At 34.4% G+C, this 17,326-nt stretch overlaps 1 protein-coding gene across 8 annotated transcripts in view; it reads right to left on the reverse strand.

Moving 5' to 3' along the window:
- Window positions 1-17,326, reverse strand: part of NOX4 (NADPH oxidase 4) — a 265,205-nt gene that overhangs the window by 85,360 nt on the left and 162,519 nt on the right. For all 8 annotated transcript variants that reach the window (NM_001143837.2, NM_001300995.1, NM_001291926.2 and 5 more), the window contains 1 exon segment: window positions 12,190-12,270. In NM_001143837.2, coding sequence (NP_001137309.2) covers window positions 12,190-12,270 — 81 coding nt within the window.

Genomic DNA, 17,326 nt, shown 5'->3' on the forward strand with positions numbered 1-17,326 from the left:
AGTTGGCAAACAAAAGATATAAAGTTAAAAAAACTTTATATCTTAAAGATCATAGTTATATAGGACATTGTATTTATTAACATATTGAAAATATGTAAATATTATGGAGGAGAAGAATTTGGATTCCATCTAAGAGAGATCTAATTATTCAATAATATTTTTCACCCCATATATTTAAGTGAAAAATTGAAGAACTAAAAAGTGAAATAAAACAAATCAGGAGAGCTGGGTCTGAGCATGCTGGATCATGCCTGTAAACCCAGCACTTAGGGGCTGAGCTGGGAGGATTACTTGAGGCCAGACTTTTGAGACCAGCCTGAGCAACACAGAAAGACCATGTCTCAAAAAATAAAATAAAATAAAATAAAATAAGAGGCATGGGTTTTCTTTTCTTTCAGATTTTTTAGCCACAGAAATGCATAAAGACCCCGAACAAAAATGTGCCAGTCTACAATATAATCAAAATAGTTAAGATTTAAAAGCTAATTCCTTTGGCGTGGGAATCAATATACTAGTTGCCATAATAACTAATTACCTAGATAAGACTAAATATAAATGATAGTTACAAAATGACAGTCCAAGTTATAGTTAAACAAATTTAGAGATTATCCTTTATTGTCATCTGTAATGCCTTGATACTTGAGGAAAATTGGAAGAGCCTAGAAGGACAACACATTCCTAGCTTAAACTAATTAATGCAATTCAGCTTCATCCAGTAAATACTGAGTGAGTGATATGTGAAAGGGATTCCCTGCATAAAGATGGGAAATAAACACTCCTATCCCCAGAACCACTATAGTTTACCTAGAATATGGCACAATGTTCTATTTTATTTTTCTTTTTTGGGTTGGAACTCGCAGATACATAAGGAGGTTAGGGAGAAGAGAACTCAGTGTTGCCCTGTCACAATGAAAAGCAACACCAGGAGGAACTCAGCCAGAGCCCACAGAGGGAGCATTTAGACCCAGTACTAGCCAAAAAGGAATTGCCCATTCTAGCAGTCAAAACCTAAGTCTCAGCAAGCCTTGCCATTTTGGGCTAAAGTGCTCTGGGATTGTAAATAAACTTGAAAGGCAGTCTAGGTTTAAAGGACTGAAATTCCCTGCAAGTCCTGGTGCTGTGCAGGGCTCACAGCCAGTGATGTGGGTGGCACACGCCCCAGTGAGACACTAGCCAGAGCAGCCAAGAGAGTGCTTGCACCACCTCTCTACCAAGCTCAGGCAACACAGCTCACAGTTCTGGGAGAGACCTCTTCCTTCTGCTTGAAGAGAGGAGAGGGATGAATAAAGAGGACTTTGTCCTGCCTCTGGGATGCCAGCTCAGCCACAGTAGGATAGGGCCCTGGGCAGAGGCCTGAGGCCCTGATTCCAGGCACTAACTGTCAAATGACATTTCTAGACACACCCTGGGCAAGCAAGAAACTTGCTGCCTTGAAGAGAAGGACCCAGTCCTGGCAAGATTAATCATCTTCTGACTAAAGAGCCATTGGCCCTTGAATAACCAGCAGTGGTACCCACGCAGTACTCGCCATGGGCCTTGGGTGAGACTGAGAGATGTACTGGCTTTAGGTGTGACCCAGCAAATTCCCAACTGTGGTTGTTATGGAGAGGGACTCCTTCTGCGTAAGAAAAGGAAAGGGAAGAGTGAATGGGACTTTGTCTTGCAGGTTACATACCAATTCAGCCACAGTGGGGTAGAGCACCAAGCAAGGTTCCCTGATTCCAGGCACTGGCTCTCAGATGACATTTCTTGACACTCCCTGGGCCAGAGGGGAATGCATTATCCTGAAGTAAAAGTCCCAAGCCTGGAAGCATTCACTACAAGCTGACTGAGGAGTCCTTGGGCCTTGAATGAACATAGGCAGTAGCTACGCAGTACCTCACTGTGGGCCTGAGGTGGGTTATATTGGTTGCAAGCCTCATTGTAACCACAAATCAGAAAACATACAACAGATACATAAAAAATAGAAAAAGAAGAAATTAAAACATAACCCCAGAGAAAATCACCTTCACCAAAAGGAAGACAGGATGGAAGGAAAGAAGAAAGAGAAGACCACAAAACAATCAGAAAGCAAATAAGAAAATGGTACAAGAAAGGCCATACTTATCAGCAATAACATAGAATGTCAATGAAATAAACTGTCCAATCAAAAGACTTACAGTGGTTGAATGGAGAAACAAAAAGACCCAATGATCTGCTGGTTACAAGAAACACACTTCACCTATGAAGATACACACAGACTGAAAATAAACAGATGGAAAAACATATTCCATGCCAATGGAAACCAAAAAGGAAGAGGAGAAGCTATACTTAATATCAGACAAAATAGATTTCAAGACAAAAACCATAAGAAGAGACCAAAAAAATCATAATGTGATAAAGGGGTCAATTCAGCAAGATGAGATAACAATTGTAAATATATATACACCCAAAACTGCAGCACACAAAAACGTAAAGCAAATATTATTAGGGCTAAAGAGAGAGAAAGACTTAAATACAACAATAGTTGGAGATTTCAACATTCCACTTTTAGCATTGGACCGATCTTTCAGACAGAAAATCAAGAAATAAACATCAGACTTAATCTGCACTATAGACCAAATGGACCTAATAAATATTTACAGAACATTTTATCCAATGGCTGCAGAACACAGATTCTTCTCCTCAGCACATGGGTCATTCTCAAGGATCATATGTTAGGTAACAAAAAAGTCTCAAAACATTCAAAAACTTGAAATAATATCAAGCACCTTTCCTGACCACAATGGAACAGAACTAGAAATCAATAAGAGGAATTTTGGAAACTATACAAATACACAGAAATTTTACAATATACTCCTGATAACCAGTGAGTCAATGATGAAATTATTGAGGAAATTTTAAAACTTTTTGAAATGCATGATAATGGAAATACAACATGCCAGAAGAATAAAACTAGATCTCTATCTCTTCCTAAATTAAAAAAATCAAAATTGATTGAAGACTTAATCTAAGACCTGAAACTATGAAACCTCTAAAAGAAAACACTGGGGAAACTCTCCAGGACATTGGACTGGGCAAAGATTTCTTGAGTAATATCCCACAAGCAAAGACAATCAAAGCAAAAATAGACAAATGGAATTACATCAAATTAAAGAGCTTCTGCACAGCAAAGCATACATCAACAAAGTAAAGATCTAACCCAAAGAATGGGGGAAAATATTTGCAAACTATCCATCTGACAAGAGATTAGTAACCAAAATATATAAATAACTCAAATAGTTATGTAAGAAAAAAATCTAATAATCAGATTTAAAAATGGGCACAATATCTAAATTGACATATCTCAAAAGACATACAAATAGCAAACAGGTATATGAAAAGGTGCTCAACATCACATCATCAGATAAATGCAAAGTAAAACTACAATGCGATATTATCTCACCACAGTTAAAATGGCTTATATTGAAAACACAGGCAACAACCAATACTGGTGAGAATGTGGAGAAAAGGGAACCCTCATATACACTGTTGGTGGGAATGTAAGTTAGCATAACCCTTATGGGAGAAAAGTTTGGAGGTTCCTCAAAAGACTAAAAACAGAACTACCATATGACCCAGCAATCCTATTGGTAGGTATATACCCAAAAGAAAAGAAATCAGTATATTGAAGAGATACCTGCACTTGCATGTTTATTGTAGCACTATTCACAATAGCCAAGATTTTGAAGCAACCTAAGTGTCCATCAACAGATGAATGGATAAAGAAAATGTGCTACATATAACAACGGTGTACTATTCAGCCACAAAAAGGAGATCCTCTCATTTTCAACGACGTGGGTGGAACTGAGGTCATTGTGTTAAGTGAAATAAGCAAGGCACAGAAAGACAAATTTCACACGTTCTCACTTATTTGTGGGAGCTAAAAATGAAAACTGAACTCGTGAAGATAGAGAGTAGAATGACGATTACCAGAGGCTGCGAATGAGAGGGGGAGAAGTGGGGATGAGTATTGGTTATAAAAATATAATTAGATGACTAGAGTCAACAATAATGTACATTAAAAAATAATGAAAACAGTACAATTTGTATGTAACACAAAGAAAAGATAAATATTTGAGATTATGAATATCTCATTTATGCAAATGTGATCATTACACATTGTATGCCTGTATCAAAATATCTCATGTATCCCATAAACATATATGCCTACTATGTATTCATAAAAATTAAAAATAGAAAAGTTTTTTAAATGGAGAACATTACATAGACAACAATAAAAATATATGTGTATATATGTATATGTGTGTGTATAGTGTCAATTTTATGTATGATAGCTAATATTTCTCTTCTAATAGGTCTGGGAGATACAATTATTTTTCTTTATTGCACAAATCAGGAAGCTCTATAAAAAACTGATTTGTCTAAGATTAGTGATCTTCTAGGAATCAATCCTCTTTCTTCACTATTATAACCCAGGGCATTTGTTTCACTATTTTTAAAGTCAAAATACCAAAATGTGTGGGATAGCAAAACTATGGTAATTCACAAATTGCATGCTTACTTGGGTTCGTTTATGTATTTACTTTGGAATTCCATTATCAAATTCATCCCACACATTTGAATAATAACTGGATGGGTAATCTAATATTTAGAGAAAATTCATAGCAAAATTCTAAAAGGTATGGGTTTTGGAAATCTGTGGACTTAATTGATTTTTCTATATGATGAATAATATATTTTCCCCATTGCTTTCTTTGCTATGTTTTGACTTAATCCTTTTATAAAGACACACTGGCAATAAAATACTGATAAGAATATCTCTTCCACAGCATTTTTATCTGCTCCAGTCTAAATCCTAGTCTTCTTCATTGTTATTTTCAGGTTACATGGAAGAATTCTGGCAAGTAAAGTATCACATTTTTTTTATTTTATTATTAGATTTATTATAAAATGATTACATTATATTATAGAGTTATCATATTATTATGTATCTTAACAAGGTCAAACATTTTAGGAAACATTTATCAGGCAGCACCATAAAGAAGCCATTTTCTTCTTACTCCATTTTCTGGGAGCTAGTTAGATTTCACCTTCAAAACCTTGAACTCTATGTACCCTGAATCAAAATTGAACTTCTGATTCAAAACAGGCAAACATATATGTATATATACTCACCAACTTACATGGACGAATAGAAAAATATATCCTAGATTTTTACAATACATAAATATTTTTCATTCATAAGCAAGAGTACTTTCTAAATGACAAATAAATAATTCAATAATTCAAGAAAAGGGTAGAAGTTAAATTCAGGGGTCAAACTTCATGGGCTCAATCTTAGTTTTTTCAGTTATTAGCTGTGTGACTTTAGACAGTTACTTAATTTAATCTTTCATGCTTCAATTCCCCATCTGTAAAATAGAAATGATAGAAGAACTTATAGTACTGTGCATATTAAAAACAAACAAAAAATTAATGTGTGTGTGTGTGTAAAGTGCTAAGAATAGTCCCTGTCACATAGTCAACATTATCTAAAACTAGAGAATTATTATGAACAGTATAATTATTATCCTCTAAAATGATAATGCAGTTGTTAAGTTGTTCATTATATTTGTCAAGTTCTTTTTCCAGTAGCCTTCATGGAAGAAAAAAAATGCCCCAGTGGCTTTTATTTTTCCCACAATGCAGTGATTCTAACTCTAAATAAAACTGAAGTAGGCTATATAAAATGTGTCAATGTGATATTAGATATTACAGCTCTTTGGTTAAAATCTAGCTTTAAAAACTTCAGTTCCATATTTTTTGAAACGTTTTTGACCACACAAACTTTACGGTATCTAATGAAAGTTGAGAAACTTGTTTTATACAAAAATATACATATGTGTCTCAAAATTAAACTTATACATAAATATGCAGATACGTGTGTGTATGTATTTCAGGAATTAATGAATCCCTGAATCCATTCAATTAGTCCTAGGGATTATGGAGCCATGTTAAAAACCCCTATCCTATGGAAAGAGAAGTAGAATTTTGTGATAGAAGTAATGGGCACCAAACTGATAACGAGTATGCCAGACTCATTAGAAACTAGGCATCTAGGAAGTATTAGAACAGGTCATCTATATCAGTGACAGAGAGTTTATAAAAGATTTTACCCACTGTCATGAACAACCAAATCCTCAGCCTTCTAATGACCATGGTAGTGGACATCTAATTACAATCTCTAAAGTGAGACAAAGCTAGGCAAACCTACAGTGTGTATTATTTGAAGGTTCTGTTTCTCAAATACACACACAGAGCCCCTATTCAAGGTAAGGACTCCTTTTGTGGCTCTAGCTCAAAGTCTACATTAAAACAGTGCATTAGCCTCTCTTAAAACTTTCCCCACTGCCTAGGAGTAGGTAGAATACCTGTATGACCTGGTTTTTCTATAGCCACTGCTGAATTATCAATAGCATCCCCATTCATTCTCAAAAGTATCTGGTTTGGACAATAAATTACAAAGTCACTGCAAATGTACAGGCAAGAAATGGGAAACTGAAAAGAACATAGAGGAAAGTAAAAATTTTCTCCCTCAGTACTAGAATAGGATTGTTTAAAATACAACTTGTGGGCCTTCCATTCAAAATGCAATTTGACTTTCTAAGAGGAGCAAGTGCCTCCCACCAGTAGCAAGATGACCAAGCTTTTCCCTCTGCCACATCAGTGTGGGTGAAGGAAGACTTCCACGAAAGTGGCTTCTAAAAGGGAAGATACTTGGGTATCAGCAGTCCTTAACACTTCACTATATTGCACAAATATCTCTATCCTCTAACAGTATATCCTTAATGTCCTCCTCCTGAGGCCCGAGGCCATAATAGAGGGAGGTTATTTTCCAGTCAGCACAATAAGCCGACCCCCACAATATCTGTCTAACCCTGGTTAACATCTTGAGTCTAAACTCCTGTGATGCTCCCTGTTAAACTATCCGCCTATGACACTGCCGGGGGTTCATTAATGTCACTGTTGACAAAGCCTGCCCACTGTGCTCCCCTGGCATAAAGAATAAATGTTTTTAAAAACATGCACATAAAAATACTCCTTTTAGATTTCCTAGAAAAAAAATGATTCAAGTAGAATATAAATCATGCTCTATGATTAACTCTTGCTAACAAGTAGTGCCAAATGGCAAAGAGTTCTGCTTAAAAGAATAATTCAGGTATCATTCATATAATAAAAAGATCTGAGAAGTGCAGCAGAGCTAGCACAAAAAAATATTTACACTTTTAATGTGCTGTCATTGTCATCCAAACATTTGAGGAGGACCTTCCCCTCTATCATTTCCAGAATTATCACATTATAGTCTCTCTCACTCAGTTAAATAAAGACATAAAATACAATCACCACCCACACAGCACTCTCCAAGCTAAAGCCAGTGGGAGTGTTGACTATGGTAAGACTGCAGAAGCTAAGGTGCCAAATCTCATTTACAATGCATTCCCTCCACATTTCTTCGAAAGGAGCTGGGTTGGGCTCTTAAGCAGAGACTGTGACATTCGTAATTTATTTTCCCTCCAATACTCTTTTTATCAGTAAGTGAGAATAGCAGTATGCATCTCCTTCTGAGTTTTTCAAAAGAAAATGAGGAAAGAGATATCCAGTTCTATACATGTTTGGAAAGAGGAAATGGTTTTGTTTTGTTTTGTTTTCACCAGGTATCTTAGGAATTGAATACCTTTAAATTCCTAAGCACACCAATAGCAACCTCCCAAAAAGGTATATTAAAAATCAAAACAAAAAATTCCTCAGGAGGAAGGCTTGTTTTGCAAAGATAAACCTTTATTGCTAAAAATCAATAGAATGTTAGAGATCTTAGAATATTATAATTGTTGCCATATCAAGGAATATTCCTTTGAGCTGCTAAGTAGTTTTCACTATGTTCATCAAATTACTTTGTTGATAAGAAAATCTGGGTTTTTCAAAAGTGTTGTGTCTTTATCAAAAAACCTGATTTTTCAAAGTTAAATGTGGAGTGTCATTCTTACAAAGCTATAAGTATTGGTACTAGTATAATTTGTTCTTACTAACATTTATTAAGTATGTCTATATTCTGCCTACTTTGCTGCATTACTTTAAACCCAAGACAACACTATGATATAAGTGATTTTATTAATCCCATTTAATTGCTAACAAAAAGCAAGGACAAATTATCTGCCAAGTTCATACGGGTATTAAGTGATGTATCTTTTAACTTCTATAATATACTAACATCTTGGAGAAGAAAATTAATGTATTTTAAAGATGTATTTTAACACTAAAAAGAAACATCTAGTTTAGTGTACATGAAATGTCATCTTTTTAGGGTGGCATGCAACAGATTTATTTATAAAAAATGAAGAAAATCGCTAAAATATACAACAAGAATGAAAACCAGGTTAAGCCAAGGGCACAGATAATCATAGAACAAAAAATTTGGGTCCTAAATAATACCGATTGCAATGTTTGTAGTGAAGAAAGTGAGACTTTCACTCTGCCAAAATCAGATCACATACTCCAAGAACATTTAGTTTGGTGTAAGTTTTAAAAGGGATACAGAGAAGTGTTGCCAAATGGGGGCCAGCATAACTTAGTGGTTAAGAATGTTAATTTTGGTACCTGATACCTGGGTTCAAACTGGAAATCTACTTACTAGCCATGGCCCTCAGCAACTTATCTCTCACTGCTCCTATTCTCTCAGCTGAACATTGAGAATAATAATAATAATAATAATAATAATAATAATAATAATAAATTTACAGGGTTGTTAGGAGGATTTAATGAGAGCAAATGTTAGTAAAAGAGAAGCATTCAATTAATATTAATTGTTAATATATTCGAAGAGACAGTTCAGAAAATTGAGATCTGAAATATCACAACGTGAGAAACAGATGAATAGAATTTAGAAAAGTGGGCGACTTAACTTCCATGGCCTCCAGAATCACAGACTTTTAAATAGCTAGACAGAAATTACAGTAAAATAATTCCAACCAAAAACGAAAGAACATTGTGAGAATTAGAACTTCCCCTAAGACAGAATGGACATCTTCAAAATTAGGCATTGACTTAGTAGATAAATTGCAGAGGAGCTTAAAAGAGGCTTGATCAAGATATCTTTTCAGCTTCCTTTAAAATTTAAGATTCTATGAAAAAAATGACCTTAGAAAATCATATGAAGCAAATGCTCTTACTGTAAAAGTCTGCTTAGGTAGAAAAACCAGTCAACAATGTCTCATCACCTCATCTTTGAAGCCTAATATTTTCTAGAATTTCTAGCCCACACTGATAATTCTCTGAATTGCTAGCATTCATGTAAATAACACATGAATGTTTACATTTTAAAAATATGCAGTTTTATAATATGTCTAGCTTTTCCAATTGATTTTTCAAAATTCCAAATCAATGATCAATGCTGGATGACTAGACATCATGCAATATATTGCTCTTCTTTACCTTATGGTACTTACCACATTGATGGACAGAGAAGCTAATGCTAAGCAAATAGTGATTTTCTGTTCAGACCTAAAGCATACTGTTGAACAGAAATTTCAATATAAATCCAAGAAATTTACTTTGAACAATTGTACTTTATTTGTATAACCAAAAGTTGAAGAACAAAGTTATCTAGGTATTTCAGAAGTTAAAATATGTCTGTTTCCAACATTTGCACAAATAAATAGACTTAATTATAAGCCAATCCTTCATCAGTATAGTTTTTTTTTAATTTTGAGAAAATGGTAAAATGTTATCAGTAGTAACATTTCTCATACCAGAAGCATATCTATTAAATTTCCTGGAAAAAATGTGCACTGTAGAATGCTTATTGTATTATGTATGGGTTGCATGACATATTTCAAAATTAGAATAATTGCTTTCTTCATTTCTACCTATAATGAATAAATACATATTAATTTAGTTTAATAATTGATTGATTATATATAATTCATCCTATAGATGCCTACTATTTCTCTGTATAAATTAAAGTCACTTTCTATGACACTTGTTCTATAAAAGTAAAAATCAAAATTTAAATATGCATTCCTTTTACTTCCAAAAAAGTAAAGAACTCTCAATGTAATCCTCCTCTTTAAAAAGAAGTCTGTTTGAAATGCTGATCCTTTAACAAAAAATTGACACTATTTTGATTTACAAAGAAATAGTTTTTTTTCAGAGTTTTAATTTAGTAAAACATAAAGGCAAAATAATATATAATTATACTAATAAATGATTGCATTTTTATTTTCTATATCTATCTGATATAGGGACATAGATGAATAGACAGATCACAATCTCAAAGCAGTAAAGATAAAGGCATTTAAACAAATACTAACATCAAATTCTCAGAAGTACAGACCTCTCCAAAAAAATAAAGCCTTGTAGTAAAAACTTAGGAGTTTCTGAATCAGAATGCCTAGGTTTGAATCTAGGATCCATCAGTTAAGTAAACTTCAACAAGCTGCTTAATCTTTCTAAACATCAGTGTTCCCACTTCTGAAAGAGGTTTAACAATATTATTTATTCTCATAACATTCTGAGCATTTAATAACATAAAGTATGTGAAGCATTTTGAATTTATACTTAGCATAGAGTAAGCATTATGTAACTATTTTAGATTACTGTTATTATCATTAGTTGTATCTGGTTATTCATAGTCCTCTTCAGGAGCATAGCCCTGGACAGGTAACCAATCCCATTTAAAGAGCAGAATGTAAAGCAGTCTTTTATCTACCAAGGGCTTTCTCGGTGCCCTGAGGCTCCAGAGAATTAGTTATAATGTGTGGCCATGTTTCCAGTGCTCTACAACTATGTGTTCTGGAACCTTGGTACTGAACAAAGCTAACCAGGACATATGGGATATTTGATACTGCTGTCTTAATCAGCAGTCTCTAAAATCAGGTGGAAAAAAGCCAAAGCAACAGTTTGAATATGTACCCTGAAATAAATATATGATCAATGTAAATGACCCACTGTACTGATAAATTACATTATAAAACATTCTGAAGAAAGAACTAAACAAAGGTCTGAACCTTTCTTCAAACTGTTTCCCTGGAAATATTTCAGGTTAAGAAAAATAGGGATTGTCAGCTGTGTTACCAGCAACATTGTTTATTATCGGTGAAATGCATCTGGACAGAAAGGACTGTGATTGAACTATGAAATCATTTTGGACCTCACAGACCTCAGCCTCCTTGTGTACAGTGTGTTCTTGATCCCAAGGGCATCCCTTGAGGGGACCTATGCTGTTCCCAAGATACAGGTTCCTGTGGAGTACGAATGAGCCTTACCCAATGCAAGGTAGACCATGCTTACCCACATGGGTTTCTTATCTTAGAGTTGCTACATGAAGGAGTGGGGGTAAATGCTTCTGAGCAAATATAGGGATTTCTACTTAATAAGCACCTGACATTATCCTGTTGACATTCTGTGTGTCCTGCCCTGTATCTTGCCAAACCAAGTAAAACTGCTGCCAGACTTATTATGTCATGCAGGTGTGAATGTCACGCCAAAGCCATCAAGTTCACTGCCGGTGGCCATACAGACATATGCATGTACAAAAATACATTATTTTCTTCATCTATCTTCATGTATTGTTTTAAGCACCATGTTTTTGAGTATACTGCTTGGGTACACATATTTTTGGAATACTTTAGGTATACTCTTTGTAATAAGCTTAGGATACATTATTTTTTCACTTTATGTTTTTTTTCCTTGGTGATTTTGACAGATCCTTTTCTTTGGTTATTTTAAATCTTTGGCTCTCTCTGCAAGTATTACTTCCTGTAGAACTTTTAAAATGAAAAACTGGAAATTCCATTATTATAAATCTTGCTTTAGCAGGACAGTTTCAGGAAATACAAATACTAAAATATATTCCTGATGTTCTTCATTCTTAAATTTTTTCATTTAGAAGATATTAGGATATATCCATAGGAAGATTTAGAAACTGAAAGGTTGTTGGAGAGGTAATTCTAGCTTTTAAATTTAGTATACTTTATACTGGTTTCATTACAATATGCTATGCTAAAAATAAAACTATTTCTTCCATTCTTGACGTTATCCTCAATAGTAGAGAAACTATTTCTTTCACTCTTGACACTTTTACCACCTCCTATGAAATTTCCTATAGAGTTTTCTTTCATTACCCCATTTTGGGGCACAAATGGTTTTAAATACATACATTTGTAAACTTACCCTGAAACATGCAACGTCAGCAGCATGTAGAAGACAAAGAAGAGGTTATGAGTATACCAGAAGATATCATAGTTAGAAACTCTGCAAAAACAAATACACTCATTTTAATGCTACTTTACATTCCATCTTACTAAAAATATCAAAAATACCATGTATCATTTCAAACATCTCACAATTTAAAAAAGCTAAAACATGAGTACATCATATTAATCTACTAATACCAAAGTATTAACACAGTATATAGAGAGAAATGACAAAAATTATGAGTAAGATTTTATCATTTTGTAAGTTCTTTGTATTTCAAATAAAGACACATGGAAATAATAAAAATAAGTTGTTTATTTTCAAGTTATTATGATATAAGGCTAAGAAGCAGATAGTAGTCTGCTAATATGTACTTTGGCTATTATTTTATCAATATTCTCAGTTTTCAAATAATTTCCAAAACAACCAAAGCTCCTCTTTCAATACATATTTTGAGAGTAGTTCAAGGGAAACTCAAAAAGAGATAAATGAAATAGATGACGACCAAAGTGTTATATTTTTTCCTGGACAGTGTAACAAGAATGATACCTCAATGTTATTGCTCTGGGGGAGGACAAAGACACTGAAAAGACAGAGAATGATAAGCATAATCTACAGAATGTTTGAGAGAAGTAAAAGAGAAACAGTTATTTTATTTCATATATCCTGGGTGGATTTTATATATTAGAATATTGGAATTAGAGGGCAGATATTTACAAAAGCTTCCTAGATGAATCTGATGCTTCCCATAGACTCTTAGAGAAACCCTTACTTAAGCAGCAAGCAATTGCTTTACATTTACTCCACTCATAGTATTTGGTATCATAAACAGTATCATTACCATCCCTTGTAACATATACAAAGTTCTGATTTTTTTTTTTTTTTTTTTTTTGAGATGCAGTCTTGCTCTGTCGCCTAGGCTGGAGTGCAGTGGTGCAATCTCAGCTCACTGCAACCTCCACCTTCCAGTTTCAAGTGATTCTCCTGCCTCAGCCTCCTGAGCAGCTGGGATTACAGGCACTCGCCACCATGACCAGCTAATATTTGCATTCTTGGTAGAGATGGGGTTTCACCATGTTGGCCAGGCTGGTCTCGAACTCCTGACCTCGTGATCCACCTGCGTCAGTCTCCCAAAGTGCTGGGATTACAGGTGTGAGCCACCATGCTTGGCCCTCTGATCCTTCTTTAAATCAAAACCATTAGAATTTGAACTGCAAAATTAAGGGATACACCTTTTTAATGCTTTTAATACACGCTGCCAATTGCCCTCTAAAAATGTATTTATTAATTACAAACCCAACTGTAGGCTAGGAGTGCCTGTTTCCCAAAAACTCAGACTAAATTTTGTAAATTTTCATTATTTTTTATAAGTAGGATGGGGTATTATTTCATATGTCTGTTACTTTTAATTCTTCTGTGACCTTTCTGTTTATAATCATTACCCATTTCTATAGAGTATTTTTAATTCATATGTGTAATTTAGATAGACCTACATTTGCTTAAACTTTACTTTCCTCATAAGCTTGTAATGCCACCTTTATTATCTGCAGGTTCTTATATATTGCAAGGTCATTTACAGGGCTTTTTACTGACTTTGTCCCTTGGTTCAATGTGTTAGTCATTTTTGCAAGTAAGTCCCATTCTCTTTTAAGTTACTGAAGTTTAATTATTTTAATGTTTAGTAAGGCACATCCCTCCTTTTACTCCTCTTTTGAAATATGTACTTGGATGTACCCCAGACAAACTTTGGAATCACTTTGCTAAATTAAAAAAAACAAACAAAATAACCTGTCTGAGAACGTTGTTGAAATTGCAACACTCCTTAAAAATATATATATATATTGAGGGGTCAGGCATGGTGGCTAATGCCTGTAATCCAACACTTTGAAAGGCAGAGGTGGAAGGAGTACTTGAGCCCAGGAGTCTGAGACCAGCCTGGAAAACATATTGAAACCTTGACCTTACGAAAAAATAAATACAATTAAAAAAAATAAAATTAGGCATGGTGGTGTGTGTTCGTGATCCTAGCTACTAGGGAGGCTGAAGTGGGAGGATCACTTGAGCCTGGGAGGTCAAGGTTGCGGCTGCATTGAGCTGTAATCTTATCACTGTATTCCAGCCTGGATGAGAGAGAAAGACCCTGTCTCAAAAAAATATATATATAATAATTAAGGAAGAACTATATCTTTATAGTACACAGTCTTTATTCAAATCTCTACATATTTCTCTTAGTGAACATATATCTTTTGTCTCCAGATATTATATGTTTTGCTGCAATCGTAAGTGGTATATTTTTATTTTATTCAATTTTTCAAACTAATTATAGTTAATAAAAGGATTATTTTTATATTTGATTTATATCCAATTACCTTTTCAACTCTTTTACTTGGTGTTAACACCAAATTTTTCCGTAATTCTCTTGGATTCTCTTAGAAACCTAATAATTACCATTATTTCCAGAAAAAGTAGATATATCTACTTTTTCTGGAAATAATGGTATTTTATTGTTGCACTTTTTCTAATAATTCCAAATGTTTCATTTTTTACTATATGTAAATATTGATAGAATTAAAAATACTTTTGCTTTTTTCCTGATTTTCTTAGGAATACATCTAGTGTTTCACTCTTGAGTATAACCCCAATACTGGCTTTTATATTTTTTAATTCTACAATGTAAATAATTTTAATTTTTAGCTTATTTACTCTGATTATTTTAAGTCAAAATTTGAGTTCATATTAGTAAGTGCCATTTTAAAATCAATTGAGATGAGAAAATTTATTCCTGTCATCTAATAACGGGATACATTAATTATTTTAACAGATTGACCCATATTGAACTCTCCTTGAATTAGGAGGCTACATTTCACTATCAGAAATCAAACACTGGGGACTTATTCATTCACTTGATTTGTCTAGTGCTTTAGTTTCTTACTGGTAAAAAGAAAAGGTAAAATAAAAGAGATATCTGTCTCCATGATTCATTTAAGAATTTCATGATTCTAACAATAAAACAGAAAAGCAAACTAGGTGTTATAATCTTGTTTAAACAAATTTTAAACAAAGCATAAAAAACACTGAAGATTAGGAAGGGCTTAAATTGTTTATGAGAGCAAATATAAAAGCTCAGGATTGAAGCTGATCTTTTTATTCCATTTGACAAAACTATACCTCAAGGATTTTAAAATAAGTATGTCAGATGCTCTAATTTTCCTTCAAGAATTCCTAAAATTGAAAAAGTGAGGTTTTTTAATGATTCCTCTATCTAAATAAAATAAAATTGCTCCCCACAAAATTGGCACCCTCATGTACTGATGTTAGTGAGTTGCCTTTCTGTACACCAATTTTTCATTCTTATGAAAAGCTTTAAAAGTGTTCTTACAATTTGACTCAGCTATTCTACATCTAAGAATTTTTCCTTAGGACATCATTGAAAAAGCATGCAAAGACATATGGATGGGGGTGTTTGTTTCAAAATTGAAATACCAAAAAAAAAAAAAAACAAAACAAAATCTACCCAAAACATTTAGTAATATGGGTCTGGGAAAATAATGTATAAAAACCTATATTGCGATGTGCTGTGCCATCAGTAAAGAGAATAATAACAGAATATTTATTAACGTAAAAATGTTCATAATATAAATTTAGGCAAAAAGTAAATTAAAAGTAATACTCTAATATGGTCCTATTTTGGTAAAATACATATGTATATAAGAGAGAAAAAATGATTTGGGGGTAGGAGGAGGGGAATTAGTGAAGAAGAGCAAGAAGGATTTAATCTATAAAAATACACTACATATGTACAGTATTAATCTTTGGGTAGTGAGTAGACTTGTGAAATTTTAGGGTGTATGTATGTGTGTGCACAAAGGTTAAAAACTATAAAGACAGTTTCATTTAAGTATATTATTTGGCAATTACTTTCAAAGCATATATACATATATATATATCTGTGTTTCTGTTAAATTTCACATCTGAACAAGTAGAACAATTGGAGATTCTTGAAGATTAGAGGAAATATATCTTATATTCCTTTTTTTGCTTTCTTTAACTAAAAAGTTTGTTCAGAAGCATCAACACTATAAATATTCTGAAAAACTGAATGTGTCCATTAGAAAGGACATGTGAAAGTGCTCCTGATAATGTGTATCTGATTTTGCTCAAAATCTCTTAACTATAAGAATCAATATGAATGCAGATAATTTGTTATTTTAGCAGATGCAAACAAACAATTTCTCCAAAGTTTTGTATAGAACATCATGTTAATTTACAGCAAGACAAACTCATATCAGGAAAATAGCTTTAAAATAATTTTAACAAAGGTTCCAAAATGGCCAAATAGGAACAGCTCCAGTCTACAGCTCTCAGTGTGAGCAACGCAGAGAAGGGTGATTTCTGCATTTCCAACTGAGGTACTGGGTTCATCTCACTAGGGCTTGTCAGACAGTGGGTACAGGACAGTGGGTACAGCCCACCGAGCATGAGCTGAAGCAGGGTGAGGCATCGCCTCACCTGGGAAGCGCAAGGGGTCAAGGAATTCCCTTGGCTAGCCAAGGGAAGCTGTGACAGATGGCACCTGGAAAATTGGGTCACTCCTACCCTAATACTGTGCTTTTCCAATGGTCTTAGCAAACGGCACACCAGGAGATTATATCCCACGCATGTCTCAGAGGGTCCCACACCCTCAGAACCTCACTCGTTGCTAGCACAGCAGTCTGAGATCGAAATGCAAGGCAGCAGCAAGGCTTGGGGAGGGGCGCCCACCATTGCTGAAGCTTGAGTAGGTAAACAAAGTGGCCTGGATGCTCAAACTGGGTGGAGCCCACCACAGCTCAATGAGGACTGCCTGCCTCTGTAGACTCCACCTCGGGGGGCAGGGCATAGCCGAACAAAAGGCAGCAGAAACCTCTGCAGACTTAAATATCCCTGTCTGACAGCTTTGAAGAGAGTAGTGGTTCTCCCAGCATGGAATTTGAGATCTGAGAACGGACAGACTGCCTCCTCAAGTAGGTCCCTGACCCCCGAGTAGCCTAACTAGGAGGCACTCCCCAGTAGGGGCAGACTGACACCCCACAGGGCCGAGTACCCCTCTGAGACAAAGCTTCCAGAGGAATGA

This window comes from Homo sapiens, chromosome 11 (genome assembly GCF_000001405.40).
Source record: "Homo sapiens chromosome 11, GRCh38.p14 Primary Assembly".
Lineage (NCBI taxonomy): Eukaryota > Metazoa > Chordata > Mammalia > Primates > Hominidae > Homo > Homo sapiens.